The sequence below is a fragment of the Homo sapiens genome, chromosome 9 (assembly GCF_000001405.40).
Source record: "Homo sapiens chromosome 9, GRCh38.p14 Primary Assembly".
NCBI lineage: Eukaryota > Metazoa > Chordata > Mammalia > Primates > Hominidae > Homo > Homo sapiens.
The window spans coordinates 87274557-87300071 of NC_000009.12; the positions used below are offsets into that span (position 1 = coordinate 87274557).

At 41.4% G+C, this 25515-nt stretch overlaps 1 long non-coding RNA gene across 7 annotated transcripts in view, besides 1 other annotated feature; it reads right to left on the minus strand.

Moving 5' to 3' along the window:
- The window catches only part of LOC105376126 (uncharacterized), a 103060-nt gene extending 78607 nt beyond the window's left edge, over positions 1 to 24453 (minus strand). For 4 of the 7 annotated variants that reach the window (XR_001746813.2, XR_001746814.2, XR_001746811.2 and 1 more), the window contains exons 1-4: positions 22800 to 24453; positions 8373 to 8490; positions 3133 to 7558; positions 2087 to 2464 (exon numbers count right to left, since the gene is read on the minus strand). This is a non-coding gene — a long non-coding RNA (uncharacterized LOC105376126). Of the gene's footprint in view, positions 1 to 2086; positions 7559 to 8372; positions 8491 to 22799 lie in introns of all 7 variants that reach the window. The other 3 variants (XR_007061642.1, XR_007061641.1, XR_007061640.1) reach the window with 3 other exon arrangements.
- Positions 1841 to 3040: an enhancer, noted in NCBI's record as "BRD4-independent group 4 enhancer chr9:89891312-89892511 (GRCh37/hg19 assembly coordinates)". NCBI's record gives its function as "activates an origin of replication core promoter dependent on BRD2, P300/CBP, MED14 and CDK7 cofactors, and independent of BRD4, by STARR-seq in HCT116 cells {active_cell/tissue: HCT116}" and the evidence as "EXISTENCE:reporter gene assay evidence [ECO:0000049][PMID:35650434]".
- Positions 24454 to 25515: the final 1062 nt, after the last annotated feature.

Consider the following 25515-nt stretch of genomic DNA (forward strand, 5'->3'; position numbering starts at 1 on the left):
TGTGGCTACTGCAGTTATAATGAAAATCTAAAAACAACTGTAATGCTTCTAACCATAAAATTATAAGGCAAGAAAATGGATTTAGATAACTGTGAGAGCCTTAATTGTATGTTTGTAAACTCACAGACAAAGCTTTTACTCAAATTTAGCTCCAGCTCAAATAGCACACCCAAATCACACTTTCTATTTAGCCCTTCTCCTGCCGTATAGATCTAAGACCCCAGGCATTAGAAAACTCTGTCTTTACAAAAGCATGTGTATTGGGCGTGGAGAGGAGGGAGGAAATATAAGCAGCTTAATGTGGCAAAGGTAGCTGGAGAGATGGGATCCATGAAAGAAAGCACTCCGGGACACCTTAACTGCATTTGTTCAATTACACCTGATCAAAGAATTCCATCAGAACTCCAGTGTCAGAACTACAAGGAGCCAGAGATCCAATGTCCTCATTTTAAAGACATTCAGAGATGGCAAATAATTTCTTGGGCTCACACAGAAATTTATATGGCTCAAGTTCCCATAGGCCCATGCTGAGCTTCCTCGCACTTCACCTCAGCCAATGCTTGGTGACTATAGCAGCATCCGTTCCTGGCCAACCCAGTAGCAAGTTGTAGGGAGCCAGCCCTGTCTGTTTAGGGCTCCAGTCTCTTTCCCTCCTCCAACGGGCTGGGTGCAGAGAGGAGAGCCAGCCAGCCCCCTCCATTCCTCCTCCCAGCCCCTAATTCTAGTCTGGCACCAGCCCAGAAACTGGGGCAGCAGCAAACGTCCTGACAAACGTCCTGCCCTGGAGGAGCTGAGGACCACAGGCAGGAGACAAACGAGAACATGGCAGAGGGGGATGTGCTGTCCAGACACTAGAGCAGGAGGGAGGCAGGAGAATGGGTGGAGTGGTGATTTTGGTAAGGGAAGAGCACTAAGCGTCTTGGATGTGACATTTGAGCAAAGACTTAAATGATGAAATGGGAGAGAGTCGATGACTGGGGTAAGAACATTCCAGAGAGAGGAAATGGCAGGATAGAAAGGCGAGCAAATTCCTAAATGATGGTTGAACAACTCTGTGAATGAATATTCTAAAACCATCTAATTGCATACTTTCAGTGAGTAAACTGTGGAGTATAGGAATTACATGTCAATAAAGTTGTTACCAAAAAAATTGAAAGTAAATTTTAAACAACAGATAAAGGCACTCATGGTTTTTCAGGTGCATATTTTTACAAACCCTGTCTACACTCTTTTTGGACAACACTAGGGAAAATTACATAAGGAGTGACATAGGTCCTTCTCACTATCCTTTCCCTCTTCCTTGTATTATCCTGCGCCCCAGCGTCTTCCTAAGAGTCTGAGGTTAACCTGTGGGTAGATTCCTGGGCTGCTGCTGGCATCATGCATGTTGGTCCCTACTGCCCCATAACTTGATTAGCAGCTTGACAGAGGCCTGTTATGCCTTAATCAGTTGTCACTATCCTTGGCCAAAGGGCCTGAATCTGAAGGAGAGGAAGACACACTTAAAAGTTGGAACAGTAGGCCGGGTGCAGTGGCTCACGCCTGTAATCCCAGCACTTTGGGAAGCAAAGGCGGGCAGATCATCTGAGGTCAGAAGTTCAAAACCAGCCTGGCCAACATAGTGAAACCCTGTCTCTACTAAAAATACAAAAATGAGCCAGCCATGGTGGCAGGCACCTGTAGTCCCAGCTACTTGGGAGGCTGAGGCAGGAGAATTGCTTGAACCCAGGAGGCGGAGGTTGCAGTGAGCCAGATCATGCCATTGCATTTCAGCCTGGGCGACAGAGCGCGACTCCATCTCAAAAAAAAAAAAAAAGCTGAAACTGTAAAATCACCTTCTGTGGGCTGTTTAATTACAACTCCTAGAAACCCACATGCCACAATTAAGAGAGTGTGGTCTAAAGATTGGGATTTTTAAGTGCCCCAGCTGGCCAATAGGACAGAAATGTTTAATTCAGGGCAACTTTCCTGTTACCCTGAACCAAACCGAGATAACTGACTGCCTTCTCTTTTCAGGCATTCATTTACCAGAAGAACAGGGAATGAGCAAAAGAAATTCTCAAAGAATTTTTCTTTTGATACTTACCCACACTTCCTGTGCTCTGAGTCAGACCACAGAAATTGACAAATATGTGCAGAACATCTTAGAGGAAAAATGAGAAATGAAGACAGATGTCAAAACTATGTAGAAACACAGCCGGCCATCTTCTTAAAGACTCACTTTAACACGAATAACATTTAACTCCATCGTCAACAAAACCGAACTTCCTAAAAAATAATTCAGCATGGATTTCTATGAGCCATGTTGACTGAAGACAGATAACCTGGCAGATGTGTTGACTCCAACAAAACAAGGCGAATGTTCTCAGGTTTTGGGTATTGTGTCTCTCTGAGGTGATAACCACAGAGCGAGTTTCTCTGCTCTTGGTGTGAAGCAGTTTCAAATTGTTGAACCCCAGGGTTGCTGAAAGAGAAAAGCAAGTTATTTCAATGCAAGAAGAAACAAATGGCAGTCTCAAGCATGCACAGCTCAACTCCCATAAACGATGAAGGTAGCCAAGGTTAGTGAGCCCCATGGGGAGTGCTGAGGGGTGAGCTTACCACAAAAAAATGCAGGCCCCAGCTTGAAATGTCTATAAAACTAATTGAAACAAAAAAAGTACAGGTTTTTCTGAGCACACCAGGAAGAGTCTCAATCAGACAACCGTTGTCCACTGGAGACTCTCACAGGCTGTGGTGGTCTCTGGACAGCTGCTGCGGAAGGGTTGTCCCTTATTTCTGAATTAAATGAGGGAGGGCGGGGAATAATATGTTGAGATCCAGGAGGAGGTTATTTAGCAAGAGAAAAATATACTGGCAATGCTCATTTAAGGAAATTTGCTACACACATTTATCTTGTTTTGGTGCTGCTGTTGTTGTTTTGGTTGTTAAAATCATAGTTTCTCACACAGGAACTGAAAAAATAATGACTAATTGCAACTTGTGTTACAACATATTGTTCCCCCAGGTCAGTGCATGTTGAGCAAAGGTATGTGGCCAAGTTTTATTTGGGCTAGAAGAATCCAAGCCCTCCACATAATCAAGAGAGAAGCCACCGTGTGACCCAAATGAACGTAGGAGCAACAAACCTACAAGGCTTCACCTTCAGCTATTTCTCTCTCTCTTTGCAGAAGAAGGAAGCCAGAACCAAGTTAGAATCAACTTGTCTACCTTGTACAATATAAAGACAATGGTAATTAAGAACATTATTAAAGAGGAGATATCCAAAGTGTCAGGAAAAAAAAAGCACCTAATAGATTTTTTGAGCATTTCTATTCCTACCTTATATTTGCTATGAATTTCCATCACTCCTCTTCATAGTGACATCTAAATGCTTCCATTACAAGAACTATATTTGTTTCTTGTAAAATACCTTTTACCTCTGGATTCTTCAGAATTATGGCATGCAGTGTGCTCATAAACACTATCTGATCTCTTCCAAACACAGTTGATCTCTCCTGTAAAACATGCATGACCAAAACTTATTTTGCTGGGAAGCCATTCTGCTAACACAAACTCTCTTCTCAAACATTGCACCTTGAATTTGAGGACAACTTTAGGAGCTAATATGGTTTGGACATGTGTCCCCTCCAAACCCCATGTTGATATGTGACCTCCAATGTCAGAAGTTGGCCTGATAGGTGGTGTTTGGGTCATTGGAGTAGATCCCTCATGAATTGCTTGGTACTGCCCTTGTGGTAATGAGTGAGTCCTCACTCTATTAGTTCACAGGAGAGCTGGTTGTTTAAAAGAATCTGACACCCCTCCTCTCTCTCTCTTGCTTCCTCTCCCTCTCTCTCTCCCTCATCATGTGATGTGCCTGCTGCCCCTTTTCCTTCTTCTGTGAGAAAAATCTTCCTAAGGTCTCACCAGAAGCTGAATAGATGCTGGTGCCAGACTTGTACAATCTGAAGAACTGTGAGTCAAATCAACCTCTTTCCTTTATAAATTACCCACTCTCAGGTATTCTTTACAGCAATGCAAAAATGGACTCCACGGGAACTTTTTTGGAGATCCTATCAGATGAGTACTTCCCAAGCTCTGTTTAACTAGGGTAATCATATAATTTAATGTCTAAACAAATACTTGAAGAATAAAAGGGGTGCTATAAATAATGATTCCTGAACAACTGGTATAAACTGGGACACATGAACATACGGTCGCTCTGTCCCATAACATTTTCCCACTCTATTTTCTGTTATCCATGATCCCTTATCATCTAGGAGATTTGGAAAGCCTCTACTTCTTGCTATTTATTTTGAGAAAAAATTAATTATGTTGAATATACTTTTTTACTCTGTGAACACTCCTCCAGAGACATCACTGTTTCTCCCATGAGGAGGTATATGTGTCCCCACTGAATCTGATCAACTGAAAATCACTCTACTGGGCAGAAATTTGCCTGTTCTTTGGCATTCTCGCAGGTAAATATGCTGCTGTAGAGAAGAGAGGAAGTCACACTATGTCTCTGCCCTGTTGAGCATGAGTTGTTCATAGAGTAAAAGGTCACTTTAGGGCAGGGAATTTAAAAGATGGCTTCATTGCAAACATCGAGTCCAAACTGAATCTAGAAAAATTTCAAATATTTGGAAGGTTTCAATGAGTTCACACTCAATGACTGACCATCAGACAAATCCATCACTGCTGTCCTAGGCCTAGTTACTAAGTCAGCTACACCAAGTCTAATGGAAATATAATCAAGGCTAGTAAAAATGTCCTACATAATGTGGGAGACAACTGCACTTCAATTACTTGGTTATTTGAAAAGGCAGTGATAAAAAGGCATTTATGTGATAGAATAGGAATAATATTTCCACAGTGCAGCCCTGGGAGAAATAAAGGGTCAAACACCACCATGTCCATGAGTCTGGTCTTGTCTGGAGCTGTCACTGACAGGGCATGGAGTCACAGGACTGCTCCGTTTTGCTATGCATCATGCCCTGGAATGGATGGAATGGAGTTGTCCTAGATAGAGTTGCCTTTGGCAAAGGGGAAAAAATGTGTATGCAATGGTGTGCTCCAACAGTTTAGTAAGAGGGATTGCTCTGCTGCAGAGCCCTTAACAAGATATACCAAAGTTGTTAATATACATTTAACAGAATGGAACTGGCAGGTGATGGAGAGATTTTAGTGACCCACAGCACACAGGATAGAAGCTCTAAGTCATTGACTTGAGGGTGCTGAAGAAGCCATTTAAACAGTTTCTAGTCTACTCATTCATCTTTGATCATAACATTGCCAAATAAATGATCATCCTAATCACCTCTATTCTAGAATCAGCAGCTTTCAGTGTTGTGTTGGATAACCGAACCTGGTCACAATTTTTGTCTGAACACCATTTCTGGAACATACTTCGTCATAAGAATAATGTATGATGGTTGAGGAGGAGAAAAGAGGTAAGGCAGTTGGGCCTTCAGGAAGCCCCAGAACCTGGAGAGAGGGCAGGTGGCCATGTAAGAGAAAAGTATTTTCTATCCTAAAAACAACCACCAGGGCTCAGGGCACACTCAGAAGCACTGGCAACCTGTATTTGGAAAACCTCAATGGAAAACCTCAGGGCCACTTTTCAGGTGTTGGAAAGGCAGGGAAGTTGATCGCTTGGAGGCTTCCCTGTCACCCATGTCTACAGATGCCTCTGAAATTTACAAGAGAAGATCTAGTTTGGCTAATGTTCCTTTTGGAGCAGTATCTTGGAGTGTTCTTTCATCTACAGCAAGTGAATAGACAGGAGTGTATAGTTTCCACTAATGAGGCATCTTCATCCTCCTCCATTCCCTTCTTACAAATGAGGTCAGGAAAGAAAACTATTCCCCACCACAACATTAAGTTACCACTGCTGGATGCTTCCATTTTATCGTTCGTCATCCACAACCAGTCTCCATGGGGTAAAATCAGCAAGAGACTCCGCGTGATGTGTTCCCTTGTCTGCAAGTGGCCACATTAATAACCTTTTGAAGGGCTTTTTTCATTTCCACTCTCTGGGAGGAATTTTTTTAACCACTCAAGCCTTGGGGTCTGTTTAAACAAGAAATTGTTTTACACTCCTGAATGATGCATTCCTCTCCAGCTATTTCTACATAACTTCCAGGATATGAAAACCGCCCAAGGCTTTCCAACATGGCTGCTTTCTTTCCTCTCATAAACAAACTCAGCAGTAATCATGCCATTGTGGTCACTCTGGGGCTTTGCATTGCTTCAACTTTTTCCCTCAGTCTTTTGTTCTGCCAGACACTGATTATGACAGTTCACCCGAATCTGGAAAGCAAGAATGCACTCTTCTGCTGGTCTCTGGCCTTTAGCCTTTTCCTTTGTCCTCCATGAATATATGAGGCCAACAGGAGGGATCTAGGCTCAGTATGATAGGCTCAATAATGGCTTACTGAGATGTCAGGTTCTAATCCCTGGAAGCTGTAAATGTCACCTTCTAAGGAAAATGGCTCTTTGCGGATGTGGATTAAGCAAATAATTATACATGGGAAGATCATCTTGGATTACCTGCATGGGCCCTAAATGCAATCACATGTGCCTTATAAGAGGGAGGCAGGGAGAAATTTGATACAGACAGAAAAGGAGGAGATAATGAGGCCATGGAGGCACAGAGTGGAGTGATGTTGCCACAGGCCCAGGAATGCTGGCAGCCTCTGGAACCTGGGAGAGGCACAGAGCAGATTCACCCCCAGAGCCTTCAGAAGGACCAAGGTCCTGCCACCACCTCAATTCTAGTTCAGTGAAAGTGATTTTGGACTTCTTGTCTCCAGAACTGTAAGATAATGAATTCCTGTTGTTTTCAGCCACTTTAGTTATTACAGTAGCCACAGGAAACTAAAATGCTTGACCACCTGCATCTGACCTTCAACATCTCCAGCTGCATGCATCACTGCTGCAGAGCTCAGAGCATCCCAGCACACACCTCCTATGGCATTCTTGAGGAGGTGCTGATGCTTTTCCTTCCTCAATTGATCCAGAGAATTAACAAACTTCTGTGGCATTCTGATGTTTTGAGAGCAAACATGAGGAAACAAAAGCCCCAAAGGAATATTCAAACATGACTTCTTTTTTTTTTTTTTTTTTTTTTTGAGACAGGGTCTCACTCCAACACGGCTCACTGCAGCCTCAACCTCCTGGGCTCAAGGGATTCTCCTGCCTCAGCCCATCAAGTAGCTGGGACCACAGTTGCACCTCATGACACCTGGCTAATTTTTTGTACTTTTTGCAGAGATGGAGTTTCACCATGTCGCCCAGGCTGGTCTTGAACTCCTGAGCTCAAGCAATCCACCTGCCTTGGCCTCCCAAAGTGCTGGGATTGTAGGCATAAGCCACTGCGTCCAGCCGGAACATGACTTTCTGAGCTCCACTGTAGGCTCCCAGTAAAACATCCTTGCACCAAGCTCCCGTCTTCTTATTGAAGCTGAAATGTTACACAAAATGTCTTCAAGCCACTAAACAGTCATCATGATTTTAACTCATCTGTTTGGATTTGGACAAGTTACTTAATTTTTCTGGGCTTCAATTTCTTCATCTGAAAATGAAGAACATAAAACACATATCTCATTAAAAGGAGAGAAAAAAACTTATTTAGCACTACACTATATCTGAAATTCATTAAATAAAATGCTTTTTCATAAGGATAAAAATTATCACCTAATGCTTTCTTCAATGACTTATGGTTTTGACTTGATGAATTCAGATAACTGGGATTTTTCTCCCAGAACAATGTTTCTGAAAAAAACCAGGGGGGAGGGAGAAGAGGAGAAATCTCCTAAGATAGCTAATGTAAAGAAACTTTAATTATTAGTTCAATAAGCACTATTTCAGTTTGGGTTTCACCATGATTTCCAAAGGGATTTTCAACTCAACCATGAAAACAACGTTCTAGATTAAAACTCATGCAACAAGACTCAATTACAGGGAAAAAATAGTTATTTTTACAAAATCTTAAATAAGAAATGGCTTATTGAGTTTTAAATCTTAAGAAACCAAAGGGAAAGAGAGAATTTCCCTTTTTTTCTTTCTGGACTTAGCATTCCATGCAACTCTGTAAAGGGCAAAAGCTTCGTAATGCTCTTTCATGGTCTTAAATATGCTTCAGAGCTGCAGGGCATTTTTAAAATACCATTAATATAAGCCAGGTTGGAAAAAAAGTGGTATTTTCTGGATTCTAAATTAAATTGGTTGCTGTCCAACATTTTTGCATTAGGAGATGCCAGGGTGGAAGAAAGGACCATTAATCACTTTCTGCAGGTATCTGGAGTCCCCTATGCACCCAGGGATGAAGAGTACCTTGGAAACAGCCTCCATGGACTCAGAGAGCACAGCTGTGGCCTCACACTTACCAGGAGTGCTGAATGGTGAGCCAGGAGGCTTGGGCCCCAGGACAAGATGGCCTGGATGCTAGGACAGGGTGACCGCTCACTCTTTGAACAGTACCTCTCTGGCCTTCTGCTTAGTGTCCTATAAAATGATGGAGTTGAATCAGAAAATCCTAAAAGCTCCTTCAAGCTCAAATACTCTGACTTCCATAAAGGCCATGGAAAATCGGGGGGATTGAAGTGTTCGTGTACACAGTCAGCACATCTGAGGACTAGCAAGTAAAGGGCTAATAAAGTGGCCAGCTCTGCTTCAGGCAAGGCTCAAAAAAAGAGGGGGAGGGGGTAATGCTGCGTCTAGGGAGGAAACTCTCACCTCCTCAGGAAGGCATTTCCTGAAAACCCAATAGAACTAGAGATCATAGACCATAGTGCCTCCGTGCTGTCTGTCGGATTCCTGTTGGTTGATTTTTTTTTCACTGCACTCACTTACCTCTATCAAAGTTATCTTTTCTCTTAAACTATGTATTTGTTTACTATCTGTCCTGACTCACTAGATATGAGTTTTGGGAGGCCGGGAACTCCCTCACCACTGTAGAGAGAAAAGTCCCTGCCCCATGGTTGGAGCCCAGTAAATGTTTCTTGAATACATGAGTGAATGAATGATTGAATGAATCTACTCTGGCCTTTTGAAAATCTGTTCTCTTCACTGAAACTGGAGTGATCTTTTTAAAATGCAAACTTAATCGTATCATTTCCCAGTGTAGAACCAACAGTGGCCCTAAAGATAAAGACTAAATCTTTCATCCAAGCCTATCGCTGGGCTCTGGCTACCCCGCTGATCCCTGTGGTTCCACTCACCTTCTCACACTCAGAAACCCAGCCTCTCTGGCCCAGGTGTATTTCTTCCCATGCACCATGCTAATCCCTTCATGTGGCCTCTGCGCACAGCATTCCCTCTATCAGGAACAGGGACCTGCTCCACCAAAAGCACATCCAAAACCTCCTCCCAACCATCACCCAACAGACTCTCACTCTTCATATCTTAGCTCAGGAGTCTCTTCCTCAGAAGAAAGCCTGCTCTGACATGCACACAGCATGCACACCCTGGAGACCCTCTTCTCTTTCTATCAGTGTGCAGATGGTCACTTATTCATGTGATTATTTGCCTAATATCTGTCACCCTCACTTTGTTGTGAGATCTGAGAGAGCAGGGGCCAGTCTGTTTTGCTTACCCCAGTGTTCTCAGGGCCCAACACAGTACCTGATGCACAGTAACACGCAATCAATATTTGCAGAACAAATGAATGCACAAACAAATGAACTACTAGCAGCTTCACATAGGGATAAAGCCAGAAGCTCTGAAATGTCTGTAAAATATTCTTAAAAATTGTTTTTAAAACCTACTGTCCTGGGTAACAAGAGCAGACCCTTTCAAAATCGATCTCCTCAAACTACAAAGCCTCGCTCTTTTCGGCCGATTAATCATATCAGAGACCGGCAAGGAAGACCCCCCTAGATATAATCCCTCTGCACAACTGGAGCTCCCTGCTGCCCTGTCTCTTTCTTCTCACTCATTCCAACCAGAACGTTTTAATTTGGAGAAAATAATGAACCTCAAGAGGAAAAGAGAAATGGAGAGGGCGTCATTGAGGACCATGGAATGTGAGTCTGTGTCTGGTTACCATTTAGGGCCTAAGAGGAAACAACACAAAAGCCAAGAGCCAAGGCACTGGCTCTTGTTTTTTTTTTTTTTTTTTTTTTTGGAGACAGAGTTTTGCTCTGTCACCAGGCTGGAGTGTAATGGCATGATCTCGGCTCACTGCAACCTCCGCCTCCTGGGTTCAAGCAATTCTCCTACCTCAGCCTCCCAAGTAGCTGGGTCTACAGGCACGTGCCACCACGCCCAGCTAATTTTTGTATTTTTAGTAGAGACGGGTTTCACCATGTTGGCCAGGATGGTCTCAATCTCTTGATCTCATGATCCACCCGCCTCGGCCTCCCAAAGTGCTGGGATTACAGGCGTGAGCCACTGTGCCTGGCCTCTATTTTTAAAAAGAAAATTCCACAAAACATGATTCTGGGGCTCTGAGCAAAAAATATTTTCTGCATTATAGAGGATCTAAAGGAAGTGTTCTGCAAACTTCTAAAAAACTCAAAGCATTTGCTATTAGGAGAGAAAAGACTGACTATGAGCTCTGAATTGAGAGACTACAGGAAGGAGTATTTTTATCCAGGGAGAGATAAGATCACAAATGTCAATCCCCCAGTACGCAAAGCTATTTAGAAGAGAATCTCTCCATACTCACCAGAAAACAAAAGCAGGAGAATGACACCATAGCCATTCTGGCATAAAACGTGTAACTGATAACAAAGGAAAGTGCAGAGATTACAGAGAAGGTGAAGGGACAAGTGTGTGCACAATGGAAAGAATCAAATGGCAAAAGCTTATCCAGGTGGCACAGAGCCAGGAGCTGGAGACTAACATAATGCTGCCTGAGATAGCAGAAAAATGTAAACACAACCTCATAATCCACCCGTGTTTGCTCCAGCCCAGGAGAAAACATCCATAAATCTTGTCGAAATGTGATATATGGGAAACTGGTAAAATGGATCTAATCCAGATCTTATCCTGACTTATGTTCCAGAGCCAGGAAATGAAAAATGGAAGATGAAATATTGGTGAGCTGTTAGTTTTCTTCCATGTACACCCCTCTCATGCCCTCTCTGGAGGGGAATACCTGAGCTGCAGTTCTGATTCCTGTAGTAACTGGAATGGCCAGTTCAACCCCTCTGGGCTCTCATTTCCTCATGTGTAAAAGGGGGCATGTTTCCTGTCCCTCCATGACCCACAAGGTCCCTAACATCTACCTGATAACAGTGTGTAGGAAAGAACCAGGTACTGGACTCCCTTCACCCCGCCCCAGCTCTTCTATGGACCTTGGGCATGTGGCTCAACTCTTTCCAGACTCAGTTTACTCATATGAAAAATGGAGAGAACAATAGAGTACCGTTTACTGTGGTTGACAGATGTTTAATAATGTGCTCAAAGCCATACAGTGAGGGCTCAGATTCGTGTCTCATTGATGCCAATGACTTATCCTTTCCACTACAGAGCACTGCTTTCCAAGGAAGCACAGGCTGAAGTCAAGTTTTGTCTTCCTAAATGGCAGTCGTTCATGATAATAATAAACCAGAGAAAGTCCTGGCACTTAAAAATGTTCAGCAAATATGAGCTACCATCATAATTACTCTTTACAATTGCAAGTCCCTTGAGCCCAATGTCCTGATGAATAAAAGAAGGAAAATGAATAACAATTTAATTCTTGACAAGGTAAAGTATCTGTACTTTTCCACCTCTCCCTACCCAAAGCCTATCTTCTAAATGTTTGTTTCATGTCATGATTCACGAACAGTCTTAAATTGCTGCCCATTTGAAAGCCCAACTGACCGACTTCATGGAGAGGTAACTGGGAAAGATGGACTGAAATTCTTAAGGTCTGGCTTGGGTAAAATCTGTGCTTTCCTGTTGTAAATAATCCATTGACTTCAAATATTTTCAAGTACTTGGTCTCACATCTGCGGGACATATGATGGGGGCTAGAGTCACAAGGAAGTGAGCCCCATTTCATTTCAGTTTTTAGGGTCTCTGTGTACCAAAACCCACTCTGTTTCCTGGAGAAGTACAACTTTTTCCAGATGAAATTCCAAGGTTTCACTCCAGCTTCTAAACAGTGACTGTGTCAGCCAGACTCATCTCCAGCCCTTACATCTGGTATTGGATGAAAATCACCAAACCACTATGCCACTAAGACTGCAATTTGGTTTCTTAAGTGGAACCTTGTGATGAAGCTCTGAAATTCACTCCTCCCTGGTTACTGCCAATGAACTAAATAAATATGGCATTAGTCCCTTCAATACTCAGCCCTAAAGCCATAACTCCATTCAGGGCAAACTCAGAGTCAAAGAAATGAACACCCAAAACAGTCCTGGCATATAGTAGATACTTAATCTATATTTATTAGATGAAAGAATAAGAAACAAGACACAAATACAAGGAAATGATCATATATAGTACCAGGTAATTCACTGGTTCCCTTTGGTATGGTATTTTGCAGATTCTCCCTTTTTAACTTGAGACCTTCCTTATTTTATGGATCAGAAAACTGAGGCTTAGAAAGATACAATAATGAGTTTAGATTTACATTAAAACTCAAATATGCCAGATTTCAAAACCCCTATTCTTTTCACTAAATTACACCACTATCACCACCCCCAGAGAAAGTTCTACTAACATCAGTTTTCACCTGCATGTAATGACAACTAAGCCAAACAAAAGGATGTTTCTTCTAGGCTTTCTTGATGCTATATAGGATTTATAAATAAATAGGTATGCCCCTCCTCAATGTTTAAAGTTAGAATTTTGCCAAAACTATTTTGTTCAAAACAAATGTTTTCATGCCAGACACTCGATTTTTGTTTTACCTGTAAGCAAAGCAATCTGAAAATTGAGTATTTTACCAGTTATGAATGGAGTTTTGACACCACATAACAGAAAACACAAATAACAGTGGCTTAAAAGAAGTCTGGAGATGAGACATTGATGACTGGCGTGGAATTTCTACAATGTCATCAGGATGCAGGCTCCTATCCTTAGCTCGCAGTTTTCAAACTTATGCTGTCTTCATGGTCCCCAGATGGTTGCTGAAGAACCAACAATTACAATGGCCATTGCAGGCAATAGGAAGATAGAAGGCCAAGGGCAAAAGACTGCATGCCAGTTGAGATAATCCCCTTTAGAATTCCTTTCCCAGAAGCCCCACTCAGTTATTTCTGTTGACATCCCTGGCTGAAACTATATCACATGACCGCCTCTACTCAGAAGAGGAACTAGGAAATGTAGATATACGTAGTAGGTTAATTGGCAACCCAACAAATATGATTCTGTTAGTAAAAAAAAAATAAAATAAAATATTAGATAAGCAACTACCAGGTCTGACACAAATGCCTTAGATATTATTTAAATATCTGTCCTTTAAAGATTGTCATTAGTTCCATGAAACTAGACACTTGGAGAGATTGCATGATGTGTAGAAGGTGAATCTTTGTTTCTGTGGAATACAACAAAGCCGTATCACGAAAGTTATCCAGGTTAAGGTGCAGGCCAGTGGCAGCATGGATAAAAGTTATCTAGGTTATTTTTTAAATCAATCTAAATAAAATTGAAGTATGATTTTACTGAGAATACTATAGCCAGGTACAATGGTGCACACCTATGGTCTCAGCTACTCAGGAGGCTGAGGTGCAAGGATCACTTGAGCTCAGGAGTTAGAGACCAGCCTGAGCAATATAGAAAGACCCAATCTAAGATTTTGTTTAAAGAATATTGATGAGCCATTAAATACCTTTGGCTTCAACGCCTCTAAACTGTTGATCTCTGAGGTTTAAAATTTTATTCCATATTCTCCAATAAACCTAAAGGCATGTGTGCCTGATCTTATGGCTATAAGCAAAGCACCCTTATCTAAAGGAAGATGCTACCACACTAAGGAAAACCAAAGATTTCCCCTTCTCCTCCTGCAAGCCCATCTCAGGAAGCTGATGGAATGGACCCTGCCCAGGGTAAGAGGGTCTCAAAAAACTCAACACCTGTGTGATTGGCAAGAATCTGAGCTCTCTGAGCAACATTGGAATCAGCCTTAAAGTTGCTTCAACTCAGTGCCTGCTGAGAGCACAAAGAGGAGGAGAAAGAGGGGCTACACATGCAGGATGGTTATCAGAAGGACAGAGCCTGACACCAAAGACTTCCAGCACAAGGCTCACTTCTGCCTCTAGTGAAGCTGCCCCTATCCCAGTTGTGACACTAATTACACATATTGGGGAATTGTTCTGGGAAACACTACAGCGAAGTTGTAACTTTAGGTTACTTCAATGTGCTGCTTTTTTTTTTTTTTTTTTTTTTGGACGTACCTTGCTCTGTCACCCAGGCTGAGGTGCAGTGGCACTATTACAGCTCACCATAGCCTCGAACTCCTGGGCTCAAGCAATCCTCCCACCTCAGCCTACCAAGTAGCTGGGACTACAGGTATGCGCTACCACTCATGGCTCCATGTGCTTCTTTAAAGTATATTAAGGTCACTATGATTGGCTGAGCAGTTGTTTGCCAACACTTGGGTGATGGAAGGAAATTAGAACCAAGAGTGGTGGAGCACACCCATAAAGTCACTTAGATTTTGGTGAGCCAAACTGAAGGATAACATCCATCTGAAGAAGAAAGAGCTTTCACAATCCCATCTATTGTGTTCACATGCCCAAGCTTCACAGCAATGCCCACTTTCACTATTTGCTTTATTCCAGCATGTGTTCTTTCTTTTTTTGATTCATGAAGATGTCTTACAAAGTGTTGACTTACTTGCTTTTCTAAAGAATGATGCATTACAGAGCAAGAACTGTTGGATGAGAAACATATAGTGAAAAACCATATAGTGAAGACTGTAAAGACAAGAAAGACTAAAGATCATGTCCATTCTTTTTTTTTTTTTTTTGAGACAAGGTCCCTCTCTGTTGTCCAGGCTGGAGTGCAGTGGCACAGTCTCAGCTAACTGCAACCTCCCCCTCTGGGGTTCAAGCGGTTCTCCTGCCTCAGCCTCCTGAGTAGCTAGGACTGCAGGTGTGCACGACCACACCCAGCTAATTTTTGTATTTTTAGTAGAGACGGGATTTCATCATGTAGGCCAGGCTGGTCTCGAACTCCTGACCTCAGTGATCCACCCGCCTCGGCCTCCCAAGGTACTGGGATTACAGGCATGAGCCACTGCGCACAGCCCATGTCAACTCTTATATTGCTGCTGTCGATGACACATCCTTGACATTGAGGTACTATGGAAATTTCAAAAGTACAGATCATTATTTGTGAACACAGAATTATGAATCCAGGCAAAATTCTTAGATTTTCTTTGTGCATTTAACTATATCATTTCCTATATGCCACGTAGAAATCACAACCAGAAGGGAAAAAAAGTGGAGGGACCAGAAATAACTTCTGGAAAACTGAAACATTTTTGTCTCCATGTATATAAACTTAAACACATCTGAGTACTATGGTCTGCAGGGCCATGCTTGATCCTCAGGAATATTCCGGTCTGTAGCAGCATCTCACTTCTCTGAACTTCTGATATAATTGCATTCTTTCCCACATCATACAACACTTACTTATATGCCATCTTCAGCAGATTTTAACTTTTATGCAAGTTTTTCCTCCTTTTCAAGGAGTTTCAATCTACTTGTGTGAACTTTATTACTAATCAAAGTTGTTCTGGAGGGCATGGCTTAGATGTCTACTCTCAGTTGGCTTCCTAATAGCCTTCAGAGCTGGACAGACTCATTCCTTGGCCCCTGGTGCACCTGGCCACCCACAGGCCTCCTACAGTATTGCCAGCTAACAGCACGGTACAAAGGAGATGCACCCTTTTGTGGGCAGAAAGATTTGAAAATGAGAAGATCTAGGGGGCAAACCGAACTTACACAGTTCCTTTTCCAAATCACTGAGCAGATAAATCACTTCTTCTCCCATGTGCAGGAGTTAGCAAGGGACTTAAAAACAAGGATCAGAGTTCTATCTCCTGGGAGTTGAAAGCTCTTTCCTGTCTGAGAAGAGTAGGGCATCTTCCCACTTAAATTCCACAGATGCCTGACTTTTTTCCCCTGGATGTTAATCTACTGTCCTGTGAGGATCATTTATATTTATTATGTGCCAAGCCCAACACCCAACACATAATTCAAGATAACCCCCTCATAAATTCTCTGTATAGGATTTATACATCCCAGATGGGTAGAAGTTTTGATCTTTAGAACTGAGCAGATTTTTATAATTCACAAAATGCCCTGCAATGTACATAGCTCTGTTCCTTGCGTTTCCTACGGAGCCTCCAATGTGCAGGGAGATTATGGAGCAAAGATGGTGAAATCAGTCTTAAGCTTGAAGAATTTGTTATAAGGATGTTGATAAATGTCTCAGATATATGTGACTTATTCCTTAAGAATGTTCTCTCTGACTCTTTTCAGCTAAATATGATGTATAAGCTTAGGAACAAAATCTATTTTTAAGACTGCTTGGAAGTAACAAAAATGTGTGCTGATTATCCAAGAGCACTATCTTTTTTTTTTTTTTTTTTTTTTTTTTGAGACGGAGTCTCGCTCTGTCGCCCAGGCTGGAGTGCAGTGGCGGGATCTCGGCTCACTGCAAGCTCCGCCTCCCGGGTTCACGCTATTCTCCTGCCTCAGCCTCCCAAGTAGCTGGGACTACAGGCGCCCGCCACTACGCCCGGCCAAGAGCACTATCTTAAAGGAATCAAGTTTCCTCATTTCTGGTCTTGGATGAGTGGACAACCTAAGACACCTTAATAAAAAAAGACAATGCACAATCAGAGTTCTTGATACATTAGAAGTATTCCACAATATGGGCTTTTAGAGATGTTTTAGGAGGAAAGGTAAATAAGACTAGTTTGTGTAATAGACAACTTCTAAATCTCAGAGGCTAATTTAACATAATAAACATTTGTCCAATAGAGGTCAAGAGAAAGTTTTGCTTTCATTTAGGGACCCAAGTAAGAGAAAAGAAAGTGAGGATGGGCGTTAGGATGTTTCATTCAGATTGATTTTCAAAGCACCCGGCCTAGAAACAACACTCACATCACCTCTGCATTCACCCGAACTCAGACACGTGTGCCACACCTAACTACAAGGACTGGAAATGTGGTCAACAGAGTGTCCAGGAAGAGCAGGACAAGAATCTTGATGACTACAAGCAGTCTTATGCCACAAGTGTTGAAAAAAGCCAGGACCGAAAGAAGCCAGTTACAAAAGAGAACATATTATATGATTCAATTCATATGCAATACCCAGAACAGGTTAATCTACAGAGACAGAAGTAGATGAGTGGTTGCTTAGGCTGAGAGGAGTTATGGGGGTGTGGAGAGGTGATAATTAAAGGGTGATGAAAATGTTCTAAAATGGATGGTAGTGATGGTTGCACATCACATATATGTGAATATACTAAAAATCATTGAATTCTACATTGCAAATGAATGAATTGTAAAGTAAATGAATTATATCTCAATATAGCCATTTAAATAAATAAATACAATCAACGGATACATAGAAACTCTGTACCATATTAGCAACTTTTCTGTAAATATATAAATATAAATTAAAATTATATTTTTTAAAAACTATTTTTAAAAAGTCAAGATCGATTTCAAGGATAGTGAATATTCTCCCGTAATATCTTCCTTCCACCTTATTCTCAGGCAAAACTGGTGAAAATGAATACCAGAGTCCCAATGCTTCCAGTTAGAAAGTTTCAACTTCGAGGGTGGTTTTCAATCAGTTGAACCTTGGTTTCCTATTCTGTAAAATGGAAGTGATACACTGACTTCAACCGTTTGTTGTATTTATTAAGTAAGATACCAAATTTGAAATACCAGGCATGCAGTTGGCTCTAGATTAAAGCATATTAATTAACTCTTCAAAGGGAAGTGAAATATCAAAAACACAAATAACCCCCCAAAATTGTTAAAGATTTGAATAGACACTTTACAAAAAAAGATATTCAAATGGTCAATAAGCATATGAAAGAGTACTCAATATCATTAGTCACCATAAAAATGCAAAGCAAAACAGCAGTGAGATACCACTACGCACCAAAAAAAGATACTAAAATGGTCAATAAACATAAGAAAGAGTGCTCAACATCATTAGTCACCACAAAAATGCAAAGCAGAACCACAATGAGATACCTCTCCACACTTACCAGAATGGCTAAAAATGAAAACCAACTCTACTGAGTGTTGGCAAGGCTGTGGAGAAACTAGAACTCTCACACATTGCTGCTGGATGCTGAAAATTGTACAATCATTTTGTAAACCCATTGCCACTCTCTGATAAATGGGAATATTCATCTACTCTATGGCCTAGCAATCACACACCTAGACTATATACCAAGAGAAATGAATGTACTATGTTCACAAAACACCTGTACATACATAACAGCTTTACTCACAATAAGCAAAAATTCGAAGCAGCCCAGGTATCCATCAATAGGAAAATGGATAGACAAACTGTGGTATATCCATACAATGGAATAGTACTGAGCAAAAAAAATGAGAGACTATTGATATACATAATAAAATAGATAAATTTCAAAAAAATGCTGAATGAATAAAGGATAAACTAAAGAATATATATGTATTAATATTATTCCATTTATATTAAGTCCTTGAACATAGAGAACTAATCTATAGGGATTGAAAGCAGGTCAGTGGTTACTTGGAGTCAGTTGTATAACAGCACTTGACTGGAAAGAAGCATGAGTTAACTTGCTAGAATGATGGAAGTGTTGTTTTGTTTGTTTTTGTTTTGACACAGAGTCTCACTCTTCATGCCCGGGTTGGAGTGCAATGGAGTGATCTTGGCTCACAGCAACCTCCGCCTCCCGGGTTCAAGTGATTCTCCTGCCTCAGTCCCCCAGTAACTGGGATTACAGGCATGTGCCACCATGCCCAGCTAATTTTGTATTTTTAGTAGAGATGGGGTTTCTCCATGTTGGTCAGGCTGGTCTCAAACTCCCAACCTCAAGTGATCCACTCGCCTTGGCCTCCCAAAGTGCTGGGACTATAGGCGTGAGCCGCCGTGCCAGGCCTGGAAGTGTTTTATATTTAATATATTTTAATATATTATATATATTTTATATATATTTTTATATATTATATATAGTTTATATTTAATGTCAAAATTCATTGTGCTGAACACTTAAAGATTTATACATTGTATTGAATGTAATAAAGTACTATTAATTTAAAAAACAAGGAAATGGGGGCTAATGGAAGGAGAGAATAAACTATTTCATCCTTTTTGCCTTGGATGTAAAAGGGTAGGTGGCACATACATGTTAATTTTCTGCATCTGCATCCTGCCACCTGCCTAACCAAGTCACCAAGGTGCAAAGCCCTGGAATGTCACCTCTAGTTAATATCCTCTAAAGACAGTTCTACACACAGCCACACCCAGTGTCTACTCTGCAGGTCACTGTGTTCCATGTTACAGTAAATAAATAAATACATGAATAATAACCTCTTGGTTATTATTCTAACCAAGATATGTCTTGGATTATGTTTTTCTGAAGTTATATAAAGCTTATAAAAACAGAAAATAAAGTACATTGAAAACATTTCAGAAAAAAAATCCAAAATAGACAAAAATGTAAATGAAGGCTATGAGAAAAAACAACAGAAGATGCATATTTTTTTAAGTTCCAAAATTATGCCAGTCAAAACTCAGGAGCAGAGGAAATGAGAATCCTGGTATGGAATGGCAATCCAAGGCAAGGAAAACAGAGCACTCAAAGCACTGTGCGTAGCATAGAGCAGGATAAGCCAACAAAGTCTGCATATTAACTTACAGCTGGCAACCAGCTAAAATGGGAATTTAATGACTCTTAAGGCTTGTGTCTTATACATGAACAGGAATTGAATCAAAGTTGGATGCAAAATCCTTTTAAATTACTGGAGCAGATTTTATTCCTTCGCTTTTAGATTTTAAGACTTAAGCTTTGGTGTAATAGAAATAACCAACAACCTATTAATAAACGTTGAACTGTCTTCTAATAGTGGATGGGACTTTAGTTTTGTTAGCTGTTTTCACAATATGCATATTCAGTAGCTGCTTTTTATAAATGGGTATAGATTCTAAAATAAGAGCAAGTTAAATATGCATGCATAATGTCTCTGCCTAAATAGATGCACTTAAAACTGCTGTTTATGAATCGTGACCATGACCGTCTCTGATTTACTAATGTTTGCCACTGTGGTTGCAAATTCATTTGTTTCTCTAATATTTTGACTGTCTGTATATCTCAAATCTCCATTATTAAGAACATAAAGATTCTTGATAATTCCATCTTCTTTGTGGACTGTCAATTTCATCAAACAGAAATAACTGTTTTTCTTTGGGCGCGATGGCTCACGCCTGTAATCCCCGCACTTTCGGAGGCTGAGGCAGGTGGATCACCTGAGGTCGGGAGTTCGAGATCTGCCTGGAAAACATGGTAAAACCCTGTCTCTCCTAAAAATACAAAAATTAGCTGGACGTGGTTGGGGGGCGTCTGTAATCCCAGCTACTCAGGAGGCTGGGGCTGGAGAATCACCTGAAACCGGGAGGCAAAGATTGCAGTGAGCTGAGATCACACCATTGCACTCCAACCTGGGCAATGAGAACAAAACTCTGTCTCAAAAGAAAAAAAAAAACTATTTTTCTCATCTAATGCTTTTTCCTCAGACATTATTTTTATCAGCTATTGATACCATTAGGTTAATTTTTCTTTCGGCCAGAATTTGCCTGTTCTTTTTATCTCTAATATTCTTGGATTGCTTTGTTTTTGGAGCATTTCTATGAAACCACATATGACTGTGTCTTAGTGGTGGTGGCGACAGGTTTTTGTGGCTGTTTGATCTGTGCTTTTTGTTTTGTCCAGGAGGACAGTGTTCCTGGTCCTCCAACTTAACAATGATAACTTCCTTCGTGCTGTACAAATAGCAGCTCCCCTGGTCACACCCCGAACCTCATCATGACTCGTAGCTGCACCACCTTCAGCATCTCCCATTTGAGGCTCTCACCCTCTGTCTCTGTCTCCTCCTTCCTTAGCATCAATCTTCAACAGCTCCTCATCCCCCCAGGGACCTCCAGATGATTGAACACTTTCTTTTGTCACTTCTCTTCCTTTGCAGACTAGACCCCAGAGCCCGTCATTCTCATCAGCCTATGCACACTCTTTCATCTCTGCTGCCCCATGCGTCTCTCCTGTGTCTTATCTCAAGTCAGAGTCACTTGACAAATCCAATCCTGGTTAAACTCAACTATACTAAGTCTTCACCTGCACCCAAGCAGCTAAACATGGATGAGCTTGGAGTGTCACTGGACTGGTGATTACCTGTGCAGTGACAGTCTCCTGAGTGCCCTTTGGCCCTAACTTTCTTTTTTTTTTTTTTTTTTTTTTTTGAGACGGAGTCTCACTCTGTTGCTCAGGCTGGAGTGCAGTGGCGCGATCTCTGCTCACTGCAAGCTCCATCTCCCACACTCATGCCATTCTCCTGCCTCAGCCTCCCGAGTAGCTGGGACTACATGTGCCCACCACCATGCCCGGCTAATTTTTTTGTATTTTTAGTAGAGACGGGGTTTCACTGTGTTAGCCAGGATGGTCTCGATCTCCTGACCTCGTGATGCGCCCGCCTCGGCCTCCCAAAGTACTGGGATTACAGGCGTGAGCCACCTCGCCCGTCCCTATTTTTATTTTTTAAATTACATGTAATTTTTTTTTCTTAAAGACAAGGTCTTGCTGTGTTACCCAAGCTGGATTCAAACTTCTGGGCTCAAGCGATCCTCCCACCGCAGCCTCCCCAGTGGCTGGGATTACAGGGACACACAGTGCCCCACATTCTCTACCCTGTAGAAAACCAAACCCTATACTCTTTTCTGTTGCAAGAGTATATCAACATTTCTGCTCCCTGGTGAAGGAATCTTGTATCAAAGGACTTAGTCTTTCTTAGCAACCTTTTAAAAATCACTTCAAGGACTAGAAGGATGGTAGAACTATATGTTCAACCCCTTATCTCAATCCAATCTTGAACCAAGTCCTATGATTGCTAATAATATACTCAGGACAAATCAAATGCTTTTAATGAGAGAGGGTGGGACCATTACTAAGCAGATAGGGCTGAACCAGATGTGAAGGGCTGTCTGAGGGATTCGCTTCATCCCCCAGGCCCTGGTAACAGAATTAAAGAGAATTCAGTCTAGAAAAAGTGCCAGCAAGGGCTTCCCACCTATTTCCCATAAAGCAACATAATATAAGAGCAAAAAGTGCACTATTGCCCTCAGGGAAGAGAGAAAAGTAACCAGGTCTCTGAAGAAAAATACAGCAGAAAAACAAATTACCATCATACTAAGAAAGATTTTCTTTTGAATCATCAGCCTCTGGAATAAACATTAAATTTAAAAGGTCTTATTACTTTACTTAGTTTCACCACCTAAAAAATATGTCTGCTAAATAGATTGACTCTATCATTTATTGCAGGCCTAATGGAATTCTGGCATTAAAAACCTGATCCATTTTGGGTCCTTACCTTATAAAACTTCATGTCTATCAGATCCTTTAATAGACAGAGAAGATCATTAAAACTCCAGATATTTCTACAGCCACAGTCCAGAAAGTGGCAAAGCTCATTTTTAAAAATTTAGTAATGGCTCACATTCTACAGGCTGACTTCTAATTGGATCTAATTTGACTGCAAAACTCAAGTTGGCTGAAGGCCTTTTGAACCTGCCATTGTAATTCACAGCTCAAGAAGGCAGATCCCAGCCTGATGGGCCTTTTTAGCAATAAAGAGAAAAAATGGTTACCCATCTCCCAGCCAAAGGAAGGCCACTTTTCTGAGCAAGCTGGACAGTCTGAGAGGCAGTTCCTCCAGCTCTTATGTTCATGAAGTTGAGCTTTGGTCAGGTGGGTCTCCACACGTCTTCTCCAGCACGACAATCCTTCAGGTAGCTGAGATAAGGTTGGTATAACCAGCACAACCCCAGAAAAGCTACAACAACAACAAAAATAGAGGTAAAATGTAAAAGATCATTGAGTTTGAGATGGGTTTGGTGGTTTCAGGTGTAGCTTCACAGTTTATTTCCTAGACAGAGTCTGATGGAGGTTGAGAATCATTATAATATACTATAGTCCATTTTGGAGTTAGATCTCCTTACATTCCAATTCTGCCACATATTAGCCATGTGAATGCAGGCAAGACACCTCACCTGTCTGAAATCCAGTTGTATAGAGAGACAGAGTACCACTCACCTGGCAGTGTTGTTCAATGCAATCACAATTGAAAGTCCTTGACACATAGTAGGTGCTAAATAAATCATGTGCTAAATAAGTAAAAACTCTAATACTGACAATTCAACCCTTTCCAAGGATGTGTCCCCATTTCTTTCCACTTTTTTCTGTACTTGTCTCTGACAAGAGTGAGAGATGTGCATATAGCCTTGCTCATAATGGGTGCTCAGGAAACAGTTGTTAGCTTGGTTTAATTTAGCTGATTAAACCACATTGCCACTGTGAGGCACAACAGCCCTCAACATTCCCCAGAAAGACTAGACTAACCCTAGAGCTTTCAAAACTAATCCAGATAGGGGAATTTAGGGCAGAGGGGGTCAGGATCTGTGCAGTAAAGCAAGTAGACCAATCTCCGGGTCTAGAATGGTGAAGATGAATCAGTGTCCTGAATGCACAGATCAGGGTAGCACCATCTTACTGTTGGCCACGGTTCTAGGAAATTCCCTAAAGCCCAGGTAATTCAGAATTTCTTAGTACCCACTTCCCCTAAGGAGGCCTAAGAGTTCCTAAAATTATCCAGAATTTAGGAGTGAGACTTTGATCACCACACTGGTCAGTCAGTCGCCTGCAATTACCCAGTCTCTGGTCGTCTGCACTTTGACAGTTGCTTATTTGCTGAGATTTGGGAGTAAATGGAACAGCTTAGGGGAGACATTTTTCACATTTTGACCACAAAAGATAAATGGTACAATCCCATTCACCTATTCCAGTCTAATACATTTATAACTACCTTATTGATGATCATTGCTGTGGGAGGTCATGGAGGAATCCAAGTAAGGTCATTTACTTCTCTATATCTAGTCTGGTCAGCTGAATTCAACTTACACAGAAACTAAAGCCTTGATGCCTTGCACAGCTCTCATCATAGAAGGTAGACAATTAGTGGAGGCATTCAACGTTGTATTAACTTTTTGCTCCATTGCGACAATGTAGGTTTGGGATCCAAGTGAAAATGAAATGGAAACTTCCCCACAGGTTCTCAGCATCCCAACAGGTAGCCAGGAGCCTGGGCCAGGTGGGAACATAGGCATAGCTTCATGAGTGTCTTAGGCAACTGGCTGTGGCCCCATGCCTAGGGGCTCAGCATACAAGCATTAAAATTCACACTTGCTATTCAAATGATCAGAAAGCAAGGCACACCCTATGCTGCACAAAAAGAGCCTATGGGGAGGTCGGCGCAGTGGCTTACGCCTGTAATCCCAGCACTTTGGGTGGCCAAGCTGGGTGGATCACCTGAGGTCAGGAGTTCGAGACCAGCCTGGCCAACATGGTGAAACCCTGTCTCTACTAAAAATACAAAAAAATTAGCCAGGCATGGTGGTGGACACCTGTAATCCCAGCTACTTGGGAAGCTGAAGCACAAGAATCACTTGAACCCGGGAGGTGGAGGTTGCAGTGAGCCGAGATCACACCATGGCACACCAGCCTGGGCAACAAGAGGGAAAAATCACCTCAAAAAAAAAAAAAGAGGCTATGGGAGGGTTATGCTTCTCCTTCTTTTTTAAAATTTTTAATTGACACATAATATTACACATTTATGGCATACAATGTGAGGTTTTGATACATGTATATATTGTGTAATGATCAAATCAATGTAATGAGCATATCCATCATCTCAAACATTTATCATTTCTTTGTAATGAGAACATTCACAATCCTCTCTTCTAGCTAGTTTGAAATACACATTATTACCTATAGTAATACTGCTGTGCAATAAGACACCAGAACTTATTCCTTTTATCTAAATGTAACTTTGTACCTGTTGACCAGTCCCCCCATCATTATGTCCTTCCTCCTCTCTCCCCAGTCTCTGGTAAACACTGTTCTATTGTCTATTTCTATGAGATCTTTCTTTTTTTAGATTTCAAATATAAGTGAGATTATGCAGTATTTGACTTTCTGTCTTATTTATTTCACTTAACATCATGTCTTCCAGGTTCATACATGTCATCACAAATGACAGAATTTCATTATTTTTATGACAGAATAACTTTCCATTGTGTATATATACATTTTTCAATCCATTCTTCCATTTACGGATACTTAGGTTGACTCAGGGTATACCTTGGCTATTTTGAATAATGTTATAATAAGCATGAGAGTGCAGATATTTGGTATATGGATTTCATTTCCTGGGGATCTATACCCAGTAGTGGGATTTCTGCATCATATGGTAGTTCCATTTTTAATTTTTTGAGGAACCTCCATACATTTTTCCATAATGGCCATACT